The 21,047-nt window shown below is 46.7% G+C and overlaps 1 protein-coding gene across 16 annotated transcripts in view; it reads right to left on the bottom strand.

The window, feature by feature from the left end:
- Positions 1-20,660, bottom strand: part of NPAS2 (neuronal PAS domain protein 2) — a 178,107-nt gene extending 157,447 nt beyond the window's left edge. For 9 of the 16 annotated variants that reach the window (XR_007075420.1, XM_005263953.3, XM_017004214.2 and 6 more), the window contains exon 1: positions 18,184-18,228. The gene's annotated coding sequence lies outside the window, so the exon portion shown is untranslated. Of the gene's footprint in view, positions 1-18,183; positions 18,229-18,968; positions 19,245-20,479 lie in introns of those variants that run through there. The other 7 variants (NM_002518.4, XM_047444515.1, XM_011511242.3 and 4 more) reach the window with 2 other exon arrangements.

The following is a 21,047-nucleotide window of genomic DNA, read 5'->3' as shown; positions in this document are numbered from 1 at the left end:
CTCAGGCAGGTGGATCACCTGAGGTCAGGAGTTTGAGAGCAACCTGGCCAACATGCTGAAACCCTGTCTCTACTAAAAATGCAAAAATTAGCTGGGTATGGTGGTAGGTACCTGTAGTCCCTGTTACTCAGGAGGCTGAGGCAGGAGAATCCCTTGAACCCAGGAGGTGGAGGTTGCAGTGAGCCAAGATTGTGCCACTGCACTCCAGCCTGGGCAACAGAGAGAGACTGTCTCAAAAACAACAACAACAATAACAACAAAACAAGTCTTCATCCTCATCATCTTCATGTAGAGTAGGCCAAGAAGGAGGAAGAGGAGGAAAAGGAGGGGTTTGTCTTGCTGTCTCAGGGGTGGGAGAGACGGAGGAAGGGAAGGGGAGGCAGGAGAGTCAGGCACATTCACTATAACTTTTATTGAAAGTAAAGCTGCATATAAGTGATTCCACACAGTTCAAACCTCTGTTGTTCAAGGGTCAACTGTAAATATATATTTAATATATATTTCTAAAATTTAATCTCTTCTCTGTATATTAAAAAATAACTGATCCAAAGCAATGGAGCAAAGCACCCCTTAAACTTTCTAAGCAGTACTAACAATTTTCAAAGCAAATTCACCCTCATTATCTCCTCCGATTATTATGAACACCCCTTTGAGAAGGCAGGCCTTGTTATCTCAATTTCTCAGAGGATGTAAAGTCAGTCACTTCTCTGCAGCTAAAAGGGCCTAGACCAGGGGTCTTCTGACCCCGGTGTCCTGCTCTCTCCATCTCAGCGTACTGACTATGCAAATCAATCTTCAAGAGAAAGGCCAGGCATGGTGGCTCACATCTGTAATCCCAGTACTTTGGGAGGCCGAGGCAGGCAGATCACCTGAGGTCAGGAATTCGAGACCAGCCTGGGTAACATGGTGAAACCTCTTCTCTACTAAAAATACAAAAATTAGTCAGGCGTGGTGGTGGGTGCCTGTAATCCCAGCTACTCAGGAGGTGGAGGCAGAAGAATCGTGTGAACCCAGGAGGTGGAGGTTTCAGTGAGCTGAGATTGCACCACTACACTCCAGCCTGGGCAACAAGAGCAAAACTCTGTCTCAAATAAAAAAGAAATAATCTTCAGGAAAAATTAAATCAGCACACATATTCATGAAAAGCAAATCTTAAATGTTTATTATAACCCATCTGACTTAGGGGAATTATTAAAAAAAAAAAAAAAAGCTAACCCAGGGATGACAATTTCAGGGCTTGAAAGATAGTCGTTTTCTGATGTCACAGCTACAATCACGTTCTTGTGTCTAAAATAATTAACACTGCCACTGAAAGACAGGTAGGGCAAGAAAGAAAGGGTGCTGCAGAGAATGAGGTGGAAAGGCAGATGGTGACCTCATGACAGAAGGCTGAAGACCTGTTCCCACCCTGGGTTCTGCCACTGATGAGCCTCAGCCTCAGTTTCCCCTTCTGTAAAATGATGGTGCTGGCTTCCTGACCTCTAAGGTCTCGTCCAGCTCTGTCATTCCCTGACCCTCCTCTCTAAAGGACACTTCCTGGATTAGAATCACAGTTGAGGACAACAGTGTCTCTCTTCCATATCTCCTCCTCCCAGCATACGCCCAACTGTTCTTTACTTCAGCTTGAAAAGGGCAAAAAGACCAATCTGAGGAAAACTCCATTTATCTTCAATCAGATTAGCAGCTAACCCCAAGTATTTTCCAGGTAGTTATCAAAACAGGACAGTGCAAAATTAAAAGGTAAACTGTGTGTCTAAAAATGGCAATCCAGGCCAGGTGCGGTGGCTCATGCCTGTAATCGCAGCATTTTGGGAGGCCAAGGCGGGTGGATCACCTGAGGTCAGGAGTTCGAGATCAGCCTGGCCAACATGGAGAAACCTCGTCTCTACTAAAAATACAAAACCGTCTCTACTAAAAATACAAAAAAATTAGCTGGACGTGATGGCGCATGCCTGTAATCCCAGGAGAATAGCTGGAACCCAGAAGGCAGAGGTTGCAGTGAGCCAAGATCGCACCATTGCATTCCAGCCTGGGTGACAAGAGCAAAAATTCATCTCAAAAAAACAAAATAAATAAAAATGGCAATCCCTAGTTAGGTATAAGAAAGAGAATAAGATATTAGGATCAATACGGCCTTTTACAATCTAACTTTTAGACTGTCAGATCCATTTGGGGCCTCAAGTAATCTGGATGAATTATCTATTCTGCCCGAACTCAAGTGAATTCAGGCTTCTGCTTTAGCTGAAAGAAAATCTCCTTGGGATACTAGATTTGTCCTAGAACATTAATAACTCTGGAAGGATGGGGTCCCGCTGCTGTATGGCTCTAGTGTCTGTAAGCGATGTAATTTACTGGAAATAGCAATGTGAGTGTGGCCACCAGATGAGCCACACTAAAGTGTTCAAAGGTATTCTTGGTTTTAGTTCTTGATCCTGAAAAATCTGCCCCAGAACTAAGAGGAGCACCATGTTTCACAATTCACAGACCTCATCTCATGTTCTTTTCAAAGTTCTTTCATATTTCTGACCACACATTTCCCTATCTGGGAAAATGGAGGAAAACCCCATTCCTCCCAAACCCTGTATACCTCTTTCCCCCAACATTATACATGTGGCCCGGGGACTTGCCTTCACGACGGGGCAAAGCTGCAATGCCATAGAACCCAGGGAGGCATTGGAACCAAGATGCAAAACAGTTCCGTGCGTACGGAAGAAAGAAGAAGGGCATTCACTCGGTAGAGCCACCCCTGACCTGCACAATGGGAACTCGGAGGCACCCCTTGAATCGTTAACTCCTGACCCTGTTATTCCATGGTTGGTCCTACCACAGGTCATCCCAACCTCACCCTCCCCTACCACCACTGTCCCCAGGCGCAGGCGTTGAGTGGCCATGTCTTCCAGCTGAAAAGCCTTCTTAAATCAGTTTCAGTGTTGTTTCCTAGAACTCTCTGAAATGATATACAGCCCAGAATAATTCAGACAGATGTTATTCAAGGATTCCAGGTGGGGAGAAGAAAACAAAACAGAAATGGCTCGGGTCAGGGTAATATGCTTATTCTGAGAAGGCACTGGGTGGCTGATCCCACCTCTCTGGGATGGGGGTGGTACACATCGAAGTGAGGTCGCTAGGGCAAATTTGATTTTGTGTGTGTATATGTATGTCAATCAAATTACTTTATTGATGTTTATGTTCAGATTTTGCTTCTGTTTTCATAAACGGTAGCAGCAGGAAGGTAGACAAAGTGGAAGTAACCTAACTGGGCTCCTCACTGCCATCCTGCAAAGAGAGCCTGGCATCTCTGCTTACAACCAAGGCTGGTGGCGGGAGTGGGGTTAGGATGCTCTGAACTGCCCTTAATCAGTTAAGTGAATCACTACGGAGATACTCCCCAGGAGTCAAACCGAGGAACAATGACTTAGAAAACCCTGTTACTCAAAAGTCGGTAATATCTTGCTTGCATGTATTTCCTTTATATTACATTGAGTGCTGAGGTCTGTGCTCAGCTGTGGAGGGGAAGAGGGGCAGGAGGATATGTTTTGGGGTGACCCTGAGTGACTTCTAGGAGGCTTCCCCATAAATTCAGTCCATCTCGGGTTTTCCAGGCCCGGGATGATGAGACCCAGGTGAAAAGCTGTTTGACAAATGTGGTCCAGGTGACCCCTACCTTTCCATGCTGGCTTCTAGGTTAAGCTCAGCTGAAGAAAGATGTACCTGACTCCAAAATGAGGAGAGACATAATGAGTGTCCTGATTTAACAATCCTTATTACAGCCAGAGAAACAATTTTGGAAAGCTGGATCGCTACTAAAAGACAGCAAGGAACAGAATAATGATTTTGTCCTAAAAAAGATTTTCCTGCAAGCGTTCCTCTTTTGTACCCTTTCACACGCAGCCTCCTCCTCCGAAGGGTGGAGTCGAGCACGGACACCAAACTGGAGTGGTTTCCTACTCCGGCATGCACCCAGCCGCCGCACAGTGACCTCCTGCTCAAGAAAAACCTGCTGAAGCTAAAGAAGGCAGGTTCAGATGCTGGATTTGATTTACACACATCCTATTTTCTTCAAAGCAACATTTCAGAAAAAGTAAATAAAAACGAGCTGTTCTATTTCTGGTTCTTCTCTAAACAGTGAAATTCAAGTTCCTGTTCTGACTGTCCTCATGCCAGTCATTTAACTTATCTGCGCCCCGGTGGCCTGTATGGAAAATGGGAAGAGCATAGTGCTTCCCTCCAAGTGACTGCTGTCAAAGCAAATGAGCAAACTCGTGTCTGTAACGATGACTGTCGAACACAGGGTCCCCCCTCCCAAATGATCCTTGGACCTGATGATATTTTTACCTTGCCTAAATTGTTATGGAAAAATGATAAAGGGGCCAGGCGCAGTGGCTCACGCCTGTAATCCCAGCACTTTGGGAGGCCAAGGCATGCAGATCACTTGAGGTCAGGAGTTTGAGACCAGCCTGGCCAACATGGTGAAACCCGGTCTCTACTAAAAATACAAAAATTAAAATAAAAAATAAAAAATTAGCTGGGCATGGTGGCGCATGCCTGTAATCCCAGCTACTTGGGAGGCTGAGGCAGGAGAATGGCTCGAACCTGGGACGTGGAAGTTGCAATGAGCCAATATCACATCACTGCACTCCTCCAGCCTGGGCAACAGAGTGAGACTCCATCTCAAAAAAAAAGAAAAGAAAAGAAAAGAAAAATGATAAAGGGATGGCCAAGGATGGCAATGTTATGGGATTAAAAAGTACGGGTGAGAAAATCCTGCAGCTGACCCTGACCCCGCCTGGCATACATGAGAAGCACTATTAAAAGCTGGTCAAGTAAGTAGGCAGTTTAGTCTCCTTCATAGGCATGAATGAGCTCTGTGCGTTCAGTCTATCTGAAAAAAGTCAGATGTCCGCACCTAAGAGAGTCAGCTGGTTCCCACAAGTCAAGTGGACGGTCCGTGTCCATCCTTGTCCTTGTTTCTCCCTGTACCCAGCTGCCTCTAGCACCCAGCCTTCCTTATCTTATGCTACTCACGGCAGAGAGCAGATTGTGGAGAGCACACAGAGAGATAAGGCGATTCAGGCAGAGTGGGTAGTTGGCCTGTGGCGTGGCCCTCCCAAAACCTCTGGGTGGAGAGTGCGCCGGCTGAGCCCAGAAAGCCTCATTCTTATGGATTCTCTGGAAGCAGGGCCTGAGAAACCCCTGATTCTCCAGGTGAGGAAGCCTCTTCAGGACTCATCAGAGAAAGAGAAGCACTGAGCCACCAGGAAGGGGTCGGCTGGTCTGTTCGGTGCCGGGCAAGCTCCAGGAGTCAGCAAAGGCCTCTTTGCTTTCTGAGCCTCTAGTTTTTACCTGGAAAAGGTGCACCACGTTGTACCAGATGATCACTAGGGTCCTTTCCTTCCACCTCAAAACCAGCTTATTAACCAGAATTGGGAGTGTGTCTCCAATCTGAAGAATAAACTCCTGGTTCCGTTGAAAACCAGGTGATCCTTATTCTTCAGGGGATGCTGACATAGGAGACAAACAATAGGATCCTTTAAGAACTGTGGGAGCTGAGCCTCCATTCTGCAAGCCAAGCCTCTTTAGATAAAAAAGAAAGGCCACATGAAGTAGCACATGTCACATTCATCATGGCAAAACAGCCCCACACATCCCATAAAAATTTCAGAATCCATGGGATACACAGAGGCTATTTGATTTGGACTGAAATCCCAGACACAAAAGGTTATCAGGGTACTTTGCTCTTATAAATGGCAAAAGCTTTCAAAAGCACACTGTGCAGCCCCAAGCAACTGCCAAGACATTCTGAGTGTTTGGCTTCTAGAGTTGAAGTATTTCACTTCCCCCACTTCATGTTAGCTTTCAAGAGAACACTGGGATATGTTGGGGTTTTACTTGCTAGAATGTACCTTGTCTGAAAAAACCAAGTACTTCATTCAAGAAGAAAACACCTTGAGGCTGGCATTTACCCAGCTGGGTGTGCAAGAGTTTGAGTGAACTGGTCACAGCGCAAAATAAATCAATAGCACTACTTTTCATTTTTATGAAACTCTAACAAGCATTCTCTCCTCTTGATTCTCATCCTGAGTATCAATATCTCCCTTTCACAGACGAAGAAACTGAGTCATGGGGTTTATGCAACTTGCCAAGGCCACTTGGTCACAGTGACCATATCAGGGCGTCAAAGCTTTCTGCTATGGGCCATGCGCTGTCCTCGTTACACCATTTAAAAATGCCCTGGCCCATAAGACGATGGCCACTCACACACTGTGATTTAAAATCAGGTCATAGGGTGCTGCTGGCACACCCACGGTGCAGGCTGAATGTTTTTATAGGTGTCTCATATAAACAGGCTGCAATAGATGCAAGAGCTGCCAAAGTCTGAGCTGTTAGAAAACACAGACATCGCCTCAGGGAAGCACATCCGAATGATACCACCCAAAGAAGTACAAAATGGGCAAAGAGATGCCGTTGCTTCATAGAGATATGTGCTTAGACACATGGCACGAGGAAAACATAAGGAGATTTTGTACAGAGAGGTTAGATAGCTGACCACTTTGGACACCTAACTCACACAAACACAGCACAGCTTCCCAGAAACTGGGAGCCCAAGAAGAATTAACTATTCCTTTTAAAATTTAAGCATGGTGTCTCCTGCACTAGCACCCCCATTGTTTCCTGGGTCATTGCCAGGCAGGGGCCCATCCAGGTCTCTTAAGCAGACCAGCAGCAACGTTCTTCTGGGGAGAATGCTACTAGACCAGGCATGGCGAGAGGAGAAAAACCTACTGCACAGTTGGAAGGCTAACCAACAACTCCCACCGAGGGACTGTGTATATACCAAACAGTACAAGACCAAACAGATGTGGCGCACACTGGAGCGCACCACCTTGCTGCCCAATAAATCCCCATTTTTCACAGAGCACCGGGAACATGACTCCCTGAACTGGTACAGCAATAGCAGCAGGCCTTGGCTGAGGAGGAGCCAACAATTGCCAGGGCAGGTACAACATGGCAACCGTCAGGTAAGCGCTTGGAGCAGGTCTCTACAGAAATCAGGGGACAAGGATGATGAATGACCTGCCCAGGGTGGGAAGGGAGATACAGGTGGCTCAGGGTGCTGTGAGTTTCCTGAGACTCTCTTTGAGGGGCTCATATCTGCTGTCTGGCAGTCAGGAATCAGCACAGTTCTTCTCTCATTCTCTCCATGGAATGTGATAGAATGCCGATGTGCCTACCCTACATGAGGTGCAGGGGATTCAGCGGGGATCGCAGGCCCAGGCAGAGCCCAGCTTGGTCATGAGAATCACACACACACACATCAGGACAAGAGCAATGATGCCAGCAGCTGGAGCCTTGCCAGGAAGCATCCCAGGAATAACTGGAGAGCAAGTTAAGGACTTGGGGCCCTGGCAGCTGAGAATCAGCATGCTAGGGGGTAAATGACAGCAAACGAAGGCAAAAAGAATATGGGTTTGCAGGTTTGAGAGAATAGAAAAGCCAGGAAGGAGATGTAAAATGCAGGATAGGGGTCTATTTTCATCAAGGCCACCTTGAACTGGATCCAAATCCAGGGGTCCCGTGCTTCCCCTGGACAGTTTCCAAAAGTGGTACCTTTTCAGATCAAATGAAAGTAAAGAAGATTTTATTTTGCTTGAGAGATCATAAAACCTCTAAAAAATTGCCATGCAAATTGGTTGTGAATGAATCTCTCTCTCCCACAATGCTATGAAGGGGAAAGGGGGGAGGCCATAAAAGGAAAATTCTCTCTGACCATTAAGAAGGCCTTGGAGAGGTCACACAAAAACTTCCATCTGCTTTTGGTCATTAGATGAGCTGAGATGACAGAGCTGCAGAGCAATCGTTCTCAGCAAGGTTCTAGCTGACACATCCGCCCCCACCTTACCACACACCCCACAACTTGGGGTTTAAAGTTTTCCTCGTATTTGTTATTAGATCTTGATCTCCAGGGAATTAGGCATCTTTTGCAGTAACTTATGATACTGTATGCCATGTCTTTCGTAGACAACACAAACTGAAGTGCTGACGTGGCAAACACACAATTTATTTTTATTTTTATTTATTTATTTTTTGAGACAGAGTCTTGCTTTGTCACCCAGGCTGGAGTGCAATGGCGCAATCTCAGTCCACCGCAACCTCCGCCTCCTGGGTTCAAGTGATTGTCCTGCCTCAGCCTTCCGAGTAGCTGGGATTACAGCCATCACCACACCCGGCTAATTTTTGTATTTTTAGTACAGAAGCGGTTTCACCATGTTGCCCAGGCTGGTCTTGAACTCCTGACCTCAGGTGATCCACCTGCCTCAGCCTCCCAAAGTGCTAGGATTACAGGCATGAGCCACTGTGCCCAGCCCAAACACAAGATTTGGTAGGTCAATGTAGCAGCCAGACTGGCTTCCCCTTGTCCTCACTCCAACCCACCTCCTCAAAAAACCTCTCTAGCTACAAGAAAATGTTTCCTCCCCTCCCTTACTGTCAACACTTTGTCAACAGGCAGTGATCAGCACTGTTTGTCCCGTGACCTATGTGGACGTATGATGCTGTCTGCTTCTAAAAGGTCTTCACCCTCCATGATGGATAATGGAAAATTGAAGCCATCAAGTTCTGAGATTGAAAAAATAATGGATGGATGTTTCTATACAACACTAAAGACAGATCTGACTTCTACTGACGGGGACTATTTGTGAAAATACTCCAAAAGGACTCCAGCCCATGTCGGAGAACCATGACTAGCTGCTGGGTTGGATGAAGCTAGAAACCATCATTCTGAGCAAACTATCCAAGGACAGAAAACCAAACACCGCATGTTCTCACTCATAGGTGGGAACTGAACAATGAGAACACTTGGGACACAGGGCAGGGAACATCACACACCAGGGCCTGTTGTGGGGTCGGGGGAGGGGGAGGGATAGCATTAGTAGAAATACCTAATGTAAATGACGAGTTAATGGGTGCAGCACACCAACATGGCACATGTATACATATGTAACTAACCTGCGCATTGTGCACATGTACCCTAGAACTTATAGTATAAAAATAAAATAAAAAGAAATGGAGTTAACCCATCTGAATTAAGGAGAAAACAAATGTTTGCATTTGTATGCCAAAAAATATAGGCATTCATAAAAATTAATAAAAAATAGAGGCATTCTCATTTCTTCGTGGTCTCAAAGTTTCTTCTACCACCTGTCATGTTATTGCACGTAGTCTGATGACTAACAATTCTATTCGCGTTAGGATATTTGGGATGCCTCAATGCATGCAACAAAGACCAAAGAGCTATGCTGGCTGCCTCATGATGTCCCCAGGAAGTCTACTGATAGGTTGTTTTTGCTTTCAAGGTATCTTTTTCTTGTGTGGTCTGTTGACTCTGAGAAGGTTTTTTCTTTTGTCATCTTGCCTTTTCCTTTCCTATTGGAGGACAGCAGGTGGTGGGTGTTCCTGGGCTATGCACTATCACTTAGGAGTGAGGAAGTAGAAGGATGATCAGAGGTCCATGCCCAAGAGTGGTGCTTTTCAAATGTGCCCTTGCCTGAAGGGTGATTAACATTTCTTATGAGTTTTATCCATTTCATTTGCCTTCCTCTCTTCTCTAGCAGAATTGAAAATGTTTTAAGAGCATTCCCCTGGATAACTGGAACAAGATGAGGATGCCCACTCTCACCACTTCTATTCAACATAGTACTGGAAGTGCTAGTCAGAGTAATCAGGCAACAGAAAGAAAGTAAAGGCATCCAAATAGGAAACGAAGAAGTCAGACTCTCTCTCTTTGCTGCTGATATGATTCTATGGCTAGAAAACCCCGAAAAACTCCACCAAAAGGCCCCTAGAACTGACAAATGACTTCGATAAAGTTTCAGGATACAAAATCAATGTGCAAAAATTAGTAGCATTTCTACATTATTTCACACCAATAACGTCCAAACTGAGAGCCAAATCAAGAACACAGTTCCAAAGTGCTGGGATCAGGCGGGCGGATCACTTGAGGTCAGGAGTTCGAGACCAGCCTGGCCAACATGGCAAAACCTCATCTCTACTAAAAATACAAAAATTAGCCAGGCATGGTGGTGCGTGCCTGTAGTCCCAACTACTCAGGAGGCTGAGGTTGTAGTGAGCTGAGATTGCGCCACTGCAATCCAGCCTGGGCGACAGAATGAGACTCTGTCTCAAAAAAAAAAAAAAAACAACAAAACACACACAGTTCCATTTGCAGCAGCCATTAAAATATAAAATACATAGGAATACAGCTAACCAAAGAGGTGAAAGATCTCTACAATGAGAACTATAAAACACTTCTAAAAGAAAACATAGATGACAGAAACAAATGGAGAAACATTCCATGCTCATGGATTGGAAGAATCAATATTATTAAAATGCTCATACTGCCCAAAGCAATCTACAGATTCAGTGCTATTCCTATCAAACAACCAATGTCATTTTTCACAGAACTAGAAAAAACTCTTCTAAAATTCATAGGGAACCAAAAAAGAGCTTGAATAGCCAAAGGAATCCTAAGCAGAAAGAACGAAGCTGGAGACATCATATTACCCAACTTCTAACTATACTATAAGGCTACAGTAACCAAAACAGCATGGTACTGGTACAAAAACAGGCACATATACCAATGGAATAGAAGAGAGGACTCAGAAATAAAGCCACACACCTGCAGCCATCTGAGCATCAACAAAGTTGACAAAAATAAGCAATGGGGAAAGGACTCTCTCTTCAGTAAATGGGGCTAGGATATTTAGCTAGCCATATGCAGAAGAATGAAACTGGACCCCTACCTTTCACCATATACAAAAATTAACTGAAGATGAATTAAGGATTTAAATGTAAGACTTCAATCATAAGAATCCTAGAGAAAAGCCTAGGAAACATCAGTCTGGACACTGGCCTTGGGAAAGAAAGTCCTCAAAAGCCATTGCAACAAAAACAAAAATTAACAAGTGGGACCTAATTAAACTAAAGAGCTTCTGCACAGAAAAAGAACCTATCAACAGAGTAAACAGACAACCTACATAAATGGGAGAACATATTTACAAACTATTCATTCAACAAAGGTCTAATATCCAGAATCTATAAGGAACTTAAACAACTGAACAAGCAAAAAAAACAAAAACCATATTTAAAAATAGGCAAAATACATGAACAGACACTTCTCAAAAGAAGACATACAAACATGAAAAAAATGCTCCATATCACTAATCATCAGATAAATGCAAATCAAAACCTCAATAAGGTACCATCTCACACCAGCCAGAATGGCTATTACTAAAAAGTCAAAAAACACATGCTGGAGAGACTGTGGAGACAAGAGAACACTAATGCACTGTTGACTGGAATGTAAATTAGTTCAGCCACTGTGGAATGCAGTTTGGAGCTTTCTCAAAGAACTTAAAACAGAGCTACTAATTTGACCCAGCCATCCCACTACTGATAGTAGTATCTATCCAAAAGAAAACAAATCATTTTACCAAAAAGATATATGCATTCACATGTTCATCACAGCACTATTCACAATAGCAATCGTGATTCCATGTCCATGTCTACTGGACATGGAATCAACCTAGATGCCCATCAACAGTGAACTGGATAAAGAAAATGTGTTACATATATACTATGGAATACTATGCAGCCATAAAAAGAATGAAGCCATGTCCTTTACAGCAACGTGGATGCAGCTGGAGGCCATTATCCTAAGTGAATTAATGCAGAAATAGAAAACCAAATACTGCATGTTCTCACTTATAAGTGGTAGCTAAACATTGGGTACTTGTGGACATAAAGATGGCAACAACAGGTACTGAAGACTACTGGAGGGAGCAGGGAGCCAGGGGATAAGGACTGAAAACCTAACTATTGGGTACTACATCAGTACCTGGGTGATAGGATCATTCATACCCCACACCTCAGTATCATGCAATATACCCAGGTAACAAACCTGCACATGTATCCCCTGAATCTAAAATAAAAGTCGAAAAAATTAAAAGAATACAGCAAATTTACTTTTCAGCTGTCTCATGCAATGTACGAAGTGTTTACGTAACTACTGTACATTCAGAGAACTGAATTTAGAACCTGTCTGACTGTAAATCTGATGGATTCTAAAAGCAACAAAGCTTCTTAGAAATGCTTGGGGCAGCCTACCATCTGACTGGATTGAGAAAGGCCTGGAAGGTCATCTCCTCAGGGTTTTCTTGGAAACATATCACTGGAGGGGTGTGTCTCCCAACACCATTTCCAGAAAATCTTTCAGGTTTACTGCAAGGTCGATCATAGCCACTTAATTTTCATAGACAACCTCTATTTCAAATATTTCCCTTTGCGTCTTCATGTACCATCGATACACTCCCAAAACAAGTATAACTATTATGTAGCCAATAAAATTTAATTTAAATTGTTTATGTCATGGAAAAATGCTTATGTTCACGTCAAAACAATCAGAATAGAAAACTATAAATGGTACTACCTCAAACATGTGAAAATGCACAAAAAAGATTTAAAAGCTGGAAAATATCTTGTGTTAGTTAAGATATGGAGACAAGGCGGCCTTACACACTGTAGATGGGGAGGTTAACAGGCATAGCTTTTTTTAGCCCCCAATTTGGCAGCATCTATCAATATTTCAAACAGGTGTGCCTTTACCCAGGCCTAATAATCCCTGACCTAGAAAATCTTGAAATGTACATAAAGATATACAGATAAGGAAGTTAATACAAAAACTGTAACAGTCAACTCAATAGATTATTTATTAATAGGGATGGGTTAAATAACGTCCTATTTGTACTTCTGAATAATACTCTGTAGCCTTTAAAAATAAAGAAAAAGGTATGTCATTAAAAATCCATGCCATATTAAGTTGCTAAATAATATACATAAAATGAGTTCAGTTTTTGTTTTTATTTTTTAGTTTAATTTTATTTTTTTGAGACAAAGTCTTGCTCTGTTGCCAGGCTGGAGTGCAGTGGCAGGATCTTGGCTCACTTCAACCTCCGACTCGCTGGTTCAAGTGATTCTCCTGCCTCAGCCTCCTGAGTAGCCAGGATTACAGACATGTGCCACCATGCCCAGCTAATTTTTATATTTTTAGTAGAGACAGGGTTTCACCATGTTGGCCAGGATTGTCTCGAACTCCTGACCTCGTGATCCGCCCGCCTCGGCCTCCCAAAGTGCTGGGATTACAGGCGTGAGTCAGTGCACCCGGCCTTAGTTTTTAAAAGTGTACATATGTGTGTGTATATGTAAATGCGCCAAAAATGACTAGCAGAACATGCCCCATGGTTATCAGTCATTACCTCCTGAGAAAGGTGGAGAGTTATGGGATGCTTTTGGCTACAACAGAAAAACTAGCTCAGTTTGCTTCATCTGGTAATGGTTTCATGATCTCACACATGTTCAAAAACAGACTCTTCTTTGTGTAATTCAGAAAGTCAAGGGCACCACGGAGACCTCCCCGCCCCCTGCCCTTCTTCACCTTTGCATTCTTCCGCAGGTCAGCTGAGACCTGGCCCAGCCCCTCTGGTGGCTGATGGCTGCCCAGTTTGCAGGCATTATGGCCACATATCACAGTATCTAGTGGAAGGAAAGGACTGTTTCCTTCCTTGTCTCTTTTGAGAGCAGGGAAACTTTCCCAGAAGCCTCCCAGTGGCCCACCCTCACATTTTATTGGCTAGAACAGGGTCCGCATGCTCACCCTGAGCCAGTCACTGGCAAGGGCAGCAGCCCCACCCTCACCAGGGTTGAGTGGCCAATCTGATAAACCTCCAGAGGCAGGTGTGGGTTGGCAGTCTACTGTACAAAATCCAGTTTCTGCTAGGCAAATAAAAGATAGGGCGATGATTATGGGTAGGCCACAAGGATGAAGGGAATTTTTTTTCTTTCTACTAGAAATGGTTCTGTGCTATTTGAAAATTTTTACAAGATTATATCCATGTGCTTTTTAAGATAAACTAATATAAAAATATTTCAATGCATAGAAAAAACACTGAACGGAAAATATATCTTGAAATTGTGGGGTTTTTTCCTTCTTTTCTATCTTTTCCAAAAACTATGTACTTTTATAAACAAAAAACCAATAATTTTCAGATGACCTCGAGCTCTTAATATTTTATCACCAAGGGGCACAAATATCATTCATAAAATTGTGCATGTCATTTTTGGCTCAGAAGAGGCTAGAAGAATCACGCCACTAGGTTCTGTCACCTCGTCACCTGTCTGTCTTTAGATGGGCCTGTGTTTTCTGGAAGCCTGGATGATTTTCAGTGGTCTGGGAACATTATCTGCCACGGCCTTCAGCAAAGCAACAAAGTCCACAAATTGAGTCCTAGGGTCCAACCTCTCAGCTTCAGCCCCCACCACTGCTCCCATTTCCATCCTGGTACTCCCATGCCTGACGATGCCTTCCTTTCCCTCTCTCGTCTCCACCCTCACCCAGGCCTGCCTTGGCTCCAGGGGGTTCCTCTGCTTTTCCTTCCCCCTAAACATCAAACTGCCATTGCCATTCTCTTAGAACTTGGTTTTCAAGATTTACTTTCAGGGAGCGTGGAAGGCAAATGGTAGCAGAGAAATCGCCTTTGCAAATAATAAATGGAATCCCAAAATATATTTTAAAAAATCAGAGTGATGTTGGTTGAAGTGTTTTCAGGGCCACCCAGGTGACCCCTCCTAATATCAGGGTGAAGGACACCATTGCCTTGCAATATCCATCTCTCCTAGATGGCAGGAGGAAGCAATATCTTAGAGTGCAAAGCATAAAAGGCACCCCAGGTGAATTCCAACACGCTCGGCACTAGTTTCAAGTAACTCGTACTATGGTGGAAAGACAGATTGATGGCTTTGATCCTGGAAAGTGACCCACCACAGAATAGACCAATGCCCCTCAAAGAGGAGAGGTGTTTGTCCTCTCCACTACATTTTTAAAGAGCGCTTGATTGCCACTAGCAGTCTTGATCAACAGAACCTACAGCTTAAGTACCAAGAAAAGCTTCAGATGAAAATATCCTAGGAAGGGCTATCAACAAAGCAAACCAGAAGCCAGGGACTGCAGGAGAGGGTGGAGATAAGCATGCTCCCAATAATTTTCCATTTTGCCTCTGATTAGCTTCCACAGCTGCCTGCCCTCCAGCCCTGGCCCGGTTCTCCACGGCCGGCCTTGGGTTTGCTGGTAAACCAAATTGAATCTCTAATTGGTGAACTACATGGAACATATTTTAGTAACCTCTTCGTCCTCCTTGCTTTCCAGCCTCCTCTCTCCTATCAACAGTAATAAAAGCAATCACTTTTGTTAGGCCTAACACGCGTCCTTTACTGGTAATTCTACAAACTTGGCAAGGTAAGCATCATTTGCACTGTTTTTCTGACAAGGACTCTGAGTCTCAGGTTAAAAGTTGCCATAGCTGAGCTGGGAGGCTACCCCAGGTCTGTCTGACTTCAAAATCTGCATTTTATTTCTTGCCAAGTCACAAGGCTCTCCATTCAAATATGACTACAGGTCAAGGTCAGCAATGTGGAAGCCCTACCAGCAACTCTCCTTTCCTGGGCCCCTTTCTGGCCACCACCCCAGAGAATGGCATCCCAGAACCTCATTTTCAGTTTACAATCCCTCTCTCTCTCCCTGCCACCTCACCTTGTTAGCTCCTCAAGGGCAGGTACAACCCATCTTCTCATTTTTTTATCATCTGGGCTCTCTATGTGGTATATGCTCAGTAAACATGCTGAACTGGATTCAGTGCATCCCAAAACCTTGCCAGCGTGCAGCATCTGGTAGCTGTGAGAAATGCAGCTCGGGTCCTCTCCCAGGTGTCCTGAGTTAGAATCTGTGTTTGACAAGGGCCCCAGGTGATTCTCGGGCACTATGATATCCAGCATCCTCCATCTCCTTATACAGTTTTTTTCATACCAGTGTAGAGGATCAACACTCTCCTTTCTATTCTGAACCATCAAATGGAACCACCCATTGTTTTAAGACTTGCAAAAGTTCAAGTGGTCTCTGGGGGAACTTTACCTAAGAAATGACTTTGCTTAAAATGCCAAGGACTCCTTAATCTCAGTTAAAGAATTCAAGTGAGAAGCAGTTGTGCCTTAAAGACTGCATTAAAAACTCCCCCTTTAAACATACGCTCATATTTAATACATGTTTATTTAGTGCCCTGAGATACTATTAATCATCATCACCTTGAGATTTAAAATAGAATTACTCATAGTTAAGTACCCCATTAGCATTCAGAAATTTCTCACCTTTGGATAGTGACCACCAACAATTCAGCTCATTTCCCACACCTATTTACTGAGCATCTATTCTGAACAAGGCCCCATCGAGATGAGATGCTGTGGGGAATATGAAATGTGACAGTCCCTGACCTCCCATCTTTGCTACAAATAGAACGAGGATCAGGAACATGCTAATCAGACACTTCTGTAAGCAAATAATGCACCAAGTACCCTATCCACTATTTAAATGTGAAACTCAATTAGATGCTTGCTATGATGCAGCCAATTAAACCGTTGGCATAAAGCAGCCAAGAATACTGAGTCACTGGGCTATTTTCAACACCTCGAAATCTGACCTCTCTTGGGAAAGAGTTGCACCGTGCATGGAATCAGCATGGGACAGTGTCGTGATCACACTGGGAGAACCGACGATTCATGTAAAGAACAAAACACATGCTTGTTTTAAAAATTAAGAAAGAAGACTTAGCCCTTTGGGTTCTTAAGATTCAAAAGCAAGACTCTGAAAAAATGAACATATAAAGATGGTTAAATTAAAAAGTATACGCATGCCTTATTATTTTATTCTGAAAAAATTAACTTTCAGTTTTTAATCTAATAAGTTGCAGTGTTGAGTGAGCTATAAAGATTACCAAGAGTTAAGAAAGATTGTTCAAAAAAATAGGGTGAATTCAACTTAAACATGGCACACATCAGGTTATATGTGTTATCTTTAACGATTTTCATCATTTGCATTATTAAACAGCCAGAAATTTTTTTAAAGGGCCCAAACTGTTTTAAGAGAACCAAATGAGCTTAAAAACAATTGTTGTTTTCTACATAAAGATCAATTCTTTAGTCATCATCTGAACACTCTCTCATCAGACCACTAATTAGTAAAGCCTCACTTGGTTATTTTTGGCGTGGTTAACTCTTTGGGGGTAACGTTTTATTAATAACATATTTCCTCTAGAACGTATTTCCTTCTTTCACCTCCACAGGAGCCCCTCTGGGAAGCAGTGAGAATAAAACCGATTCTACATTTACGCACAGTGGGACAGATCAGCAAATAAATAGAGGCATCGATTTCCAAGAAGAAAACGGCTAAAAGCAGCGCATTTACAATTCTTCTAAGCCATACTCCACATCTCTCTGTGAGATGGAAGATAATTACTGAACGTCTTTACTTTGCACACTTTATTTTTAACTAAATATTTAAGTAGACTGCTGAGAGATACCAATACTTCTACTGGTCCTGGTTTAGCGCTGTAATGAAACACTGAATTTTTGCTTTTATAAAATAGTGGCGCAGGTCAGGATAACTCTTTTAAACATTACACTATTTATTTGGGGGTTATTTTTGGCTAACTTTTTCCTTTAAGGACATCTTAGTGGCAGGAAGATGGAGCTAGTGTGTGCGCTTGAATGTGAACAGTGCCTCCCAAGGAGGGCAGCTCTGTGTTTAATGCAAGCCATAATTAGTTGGTCAATTCACTGATGGGGACCAAGCTACAGTGAGAGAGAGATGCTGGCAGAGATGTCTTGCTGGGAACTACTTTAGAACTAATTACCTGGGAAGTTCAAACAGGAAAAACCTTTCTATTAAGGAAAATAAGGTTTGGGTTCTAAATGATCAAGACGGTTTAGCTCGTCTCTGCTGATTAAGTTAATTTAATAAGTGATCAATGTTTTACCTGTAGGAAAACAGGCTAACCACTTTAATGAAGTTGGGGTGGATGCCAAAGCAACGCGTAAAGACGAAACTCCTCTCCGGGACCCTCCTGAACACCTGTTGAACTCCAGGGCTTCTAACTTTCCGTACTAAAGCCTCCCGGACACAAGCTCGGGAGTGTTTAGACTTTGTGGAAGTGCGTGCGTATATTCAAGGTTTCCATCTTGCTTAATCAACAAAACTAGTTACTAATTATTTATGAATCACAGGGCTGAAACAAACTTTCTTACCTTGAGCAATTAAGGAGTGGCAAGCAGAGGAGCGGGACTGGTTCTGAATTTAGCCGGGTGGTGCCTGTCCCTTCCCTGGTTACCGACCTGCCCAGCTCTTCAGAAAGGTCAAAGGTGCGTCCCTCCTCGGCTGGGAAAGGGGCACATCTCCCAACAAAACCATACGCATACATCCAACCTGGGGAGCTCCGGAGTTGGGGTGGGGGGGCGGCAGCGACGTGAGGAGCCAGGCTGCACGCTGTCTGCGCACACGGGGGTTGGGGGCACCGATTCCGCACCCAATCCGGCCCGGAACCAATTCCGACCCAGGGACTCCGAGAGACCGCGGGCCCAGGGCGCGCACGCCGCACTCTCCGGGGGTCCAGGACGCCCGACGTTTCGGAGGGTAGCGCGATGGGTCTCGAAGACAACCACGGGCAATCCCCAAAGCTGTTGCCCTGGGGCACGATCCTTCTCCACCCTGTCGGACACCCCGAGGACCCCCAAATTCCGAGGCTCGGATGCCCAGTCCTCTGTCTTCTGCGTCGAGACGCGCCCGGAGCCCACCGGCCCAGCGATTGCTACCTCCTGCAGGACGCGAAGCCCCCAGCGGCCTGACTGTGGAGGGGAACCCACCTCTCCGCGCCCCCGCGTCCGGGGTCCCCGGTGCCGCGCAGCCTCGCGCCTGAGCGCCCCTCCGCCCCCGCGCGTCCTCCACGCTGGCGAGCAGGTGACCGAGTCCTGCGACCCCGCGCGCACGTACTACCCACCCTGGGTCCCCCGCGCCCCTAGGCGCGGCCCCTTACCTCGGAGCGGGCCGGAGCGGCCCCGCGGGGCCGGGCGCGGACTGGGCCGGGGAGACGCGCCTCCCGCCGCCGCTGGGAGACGAGGCGGCGAGCGGGCGCGGCGAGCTCCTCCCGGGCGGCGGCGGGAGGCGCTGCTCTAGCTGCTGCCGCCGCCGCCGCCGCCGCCGCGGCTGCGGGTCTCCGGGCTCCGCGGCCGCCGCTCCTGGGCCGCAGCCGCGCGGGTCCCTCGGCTCCTGCGAGAGGCCGGCTGCTCGCGCGGCAAACTCTTCCGCACGCAGAGCCGGCGGGGAGAGCCGCCTCCGCCTCTGCCTCCTCCCCTGCCTCCTCCCTCCACCCTCCTCCCTCTCCACCTCCCCCTCCTACCCCCACCCTCCTCCTCCTCCCCTCGCCTGCCTCCGCCTGCGGGGTCTCTCCTGGCCCCGACCCAGCCTGGGACAAGCACCCCGCGCGCGCCGCAGGCAGACGGACCCCCGGCCCCCTAGACCCCCGGCTTCCCTGGGCGGCGCAGACACCCGCGAGTCCCCAGGCCGCCGCAGCCTCTGCTGGGCTGCCAGGGACGCGCGGCGGGGTCGGGCCTGGGGCGCAGGGTCGGGGTTGGGCGCCGGGGCTGGGGGAGGGGGGGGTTGTGCTTCCAGGTGAGCCGGCCCAGAGGAGAGGCAAGTGGACTAGAGGCTGCCAGCCGAGGTCCCATTAAAGTTGTCACTCGGGGGGAACAAGGAATCTGCCGCCCCCGCCTAGTGTAGACCCTCGCAGTGCGGGCCGCCACCCTGCTGTCCCGCGCAGGGGATGAAGGGGGACGAGCACGCGACTGTCACCCCCTCCACACTGTCCTCCAGGGGCAGGGTTGCGCGCAGGTCTCGACCCAGGGCACAAAGCGCGTCTCTGCGGGGACCACTGCGATTTCTCAATGAGCGGCGGGGGTGCGGCCCGGGGGCAGGTGGGAGGCGGGGGTCGGGGAAGATGCGGGCGAGCGGTGGTCGGCGGAGGACAGCAGCGACTGCTGGGGAGGAATAACCAGTGCCTGTCCTAAGGCGAACGTAGCTGGTCCGGAAAATGGGTCAAGGATGGAAAGGAACCGGCTAATTGCCCCCCTCCCCGGCAGGGGCACGTGGGGTGTGGGGCTGCGGCCAGGAGCGGGCACTTGGAGCTCCACTCTGCCTCTCCCTCCCCTCCTCCGCTGCCCTCCTCTCCTTTTGCACCAGTGCAGGAAATGTTCCACTGACCTACATATTTTTCCAAACATACGTGACCTTTTTTTTTTTTTCCTCTGTGGGAGGAGACAGGCGAGAATCCAAGAAAAAGAAGCTGGAGAGAGAGGCGCGCGCGAGAAACAGGGAGGATTTTACCAAGGTTCCCGCAAACGCCAAGCGGAGGGAGGCAGAGGTACAGGAATAATCCCCGGGTGCCGGGGCTGCTGTCTGATGCCCTTCGGGGCTCCAAGACAGAGCCGGTGAAAACCGGAGACCGTGTGCCCCGCCGAGGTCCGGAAACGTGGCCGGTTTCCCCTTCACCTGGGCGGCGGCGTTCACAGCGGGGAGGCGCCTGGGTGGAAGCCCGGGAGAGGGGAAAGGTCCCCCTGCCCGCTCCCACGAGGTCTCCGCTCCCCTGGCCTAGGTGCCTGGCCTGGCGCAGCGCTCCGAGCGTGGCAGCCTTTTCCGGACGTCTCTCCGTCCCTCTTACATTCCGGCAAGTGGCCCTGGAAGGAAAGCGCCCCCGCTGGCCCTTTTCTGTCATACTCGATTTTGTGGCCAGAAGGGGTCTCCTAGGGCCTTTGCCCCAAGCGCGCCAGGCCCCCGCGGTGGACTGGGGGTCGCCCCGGACGCTGTTCCTCTCGCTGTCTCGTCCTCTCCCTCGAGTTTGAGACGTGCCCTCTCCCTCGCAGATCCGACCAGCAGCGCCTTATTTGGGCATGCAACCCCACACCGTCAATTAGATCAAAACGCTCACACAGAGCTCCTTTTTACCCCCCCTGTAAAGTAGGTCATTCTCTTTATTTCCCACTTGTATTATTTGTGTCTAATTCTCCTCCTGAAAAATAATCAGCTGCAAGGAGCTTTGAGCATCCTAAGAGCAGCTGTT

This window comes from Homo sapiens, chromosome 2 (genome assembly GCF_000001405.40).
Source record: "Homo sapiens chromosome 2, GRCh38.p14 Primary Assembly".
NCBI classification, from domain to species: Eukaryota; Metazoa; Chordata; class Mammalia; order Primates; family Hominidae; genus Homo; species Homo sapiens.
The sequence above is the reverse complement of the archived record's forward strand: the minus strand, read 5'-3'. Positions and strand labels throughout refer to the sequence as shown.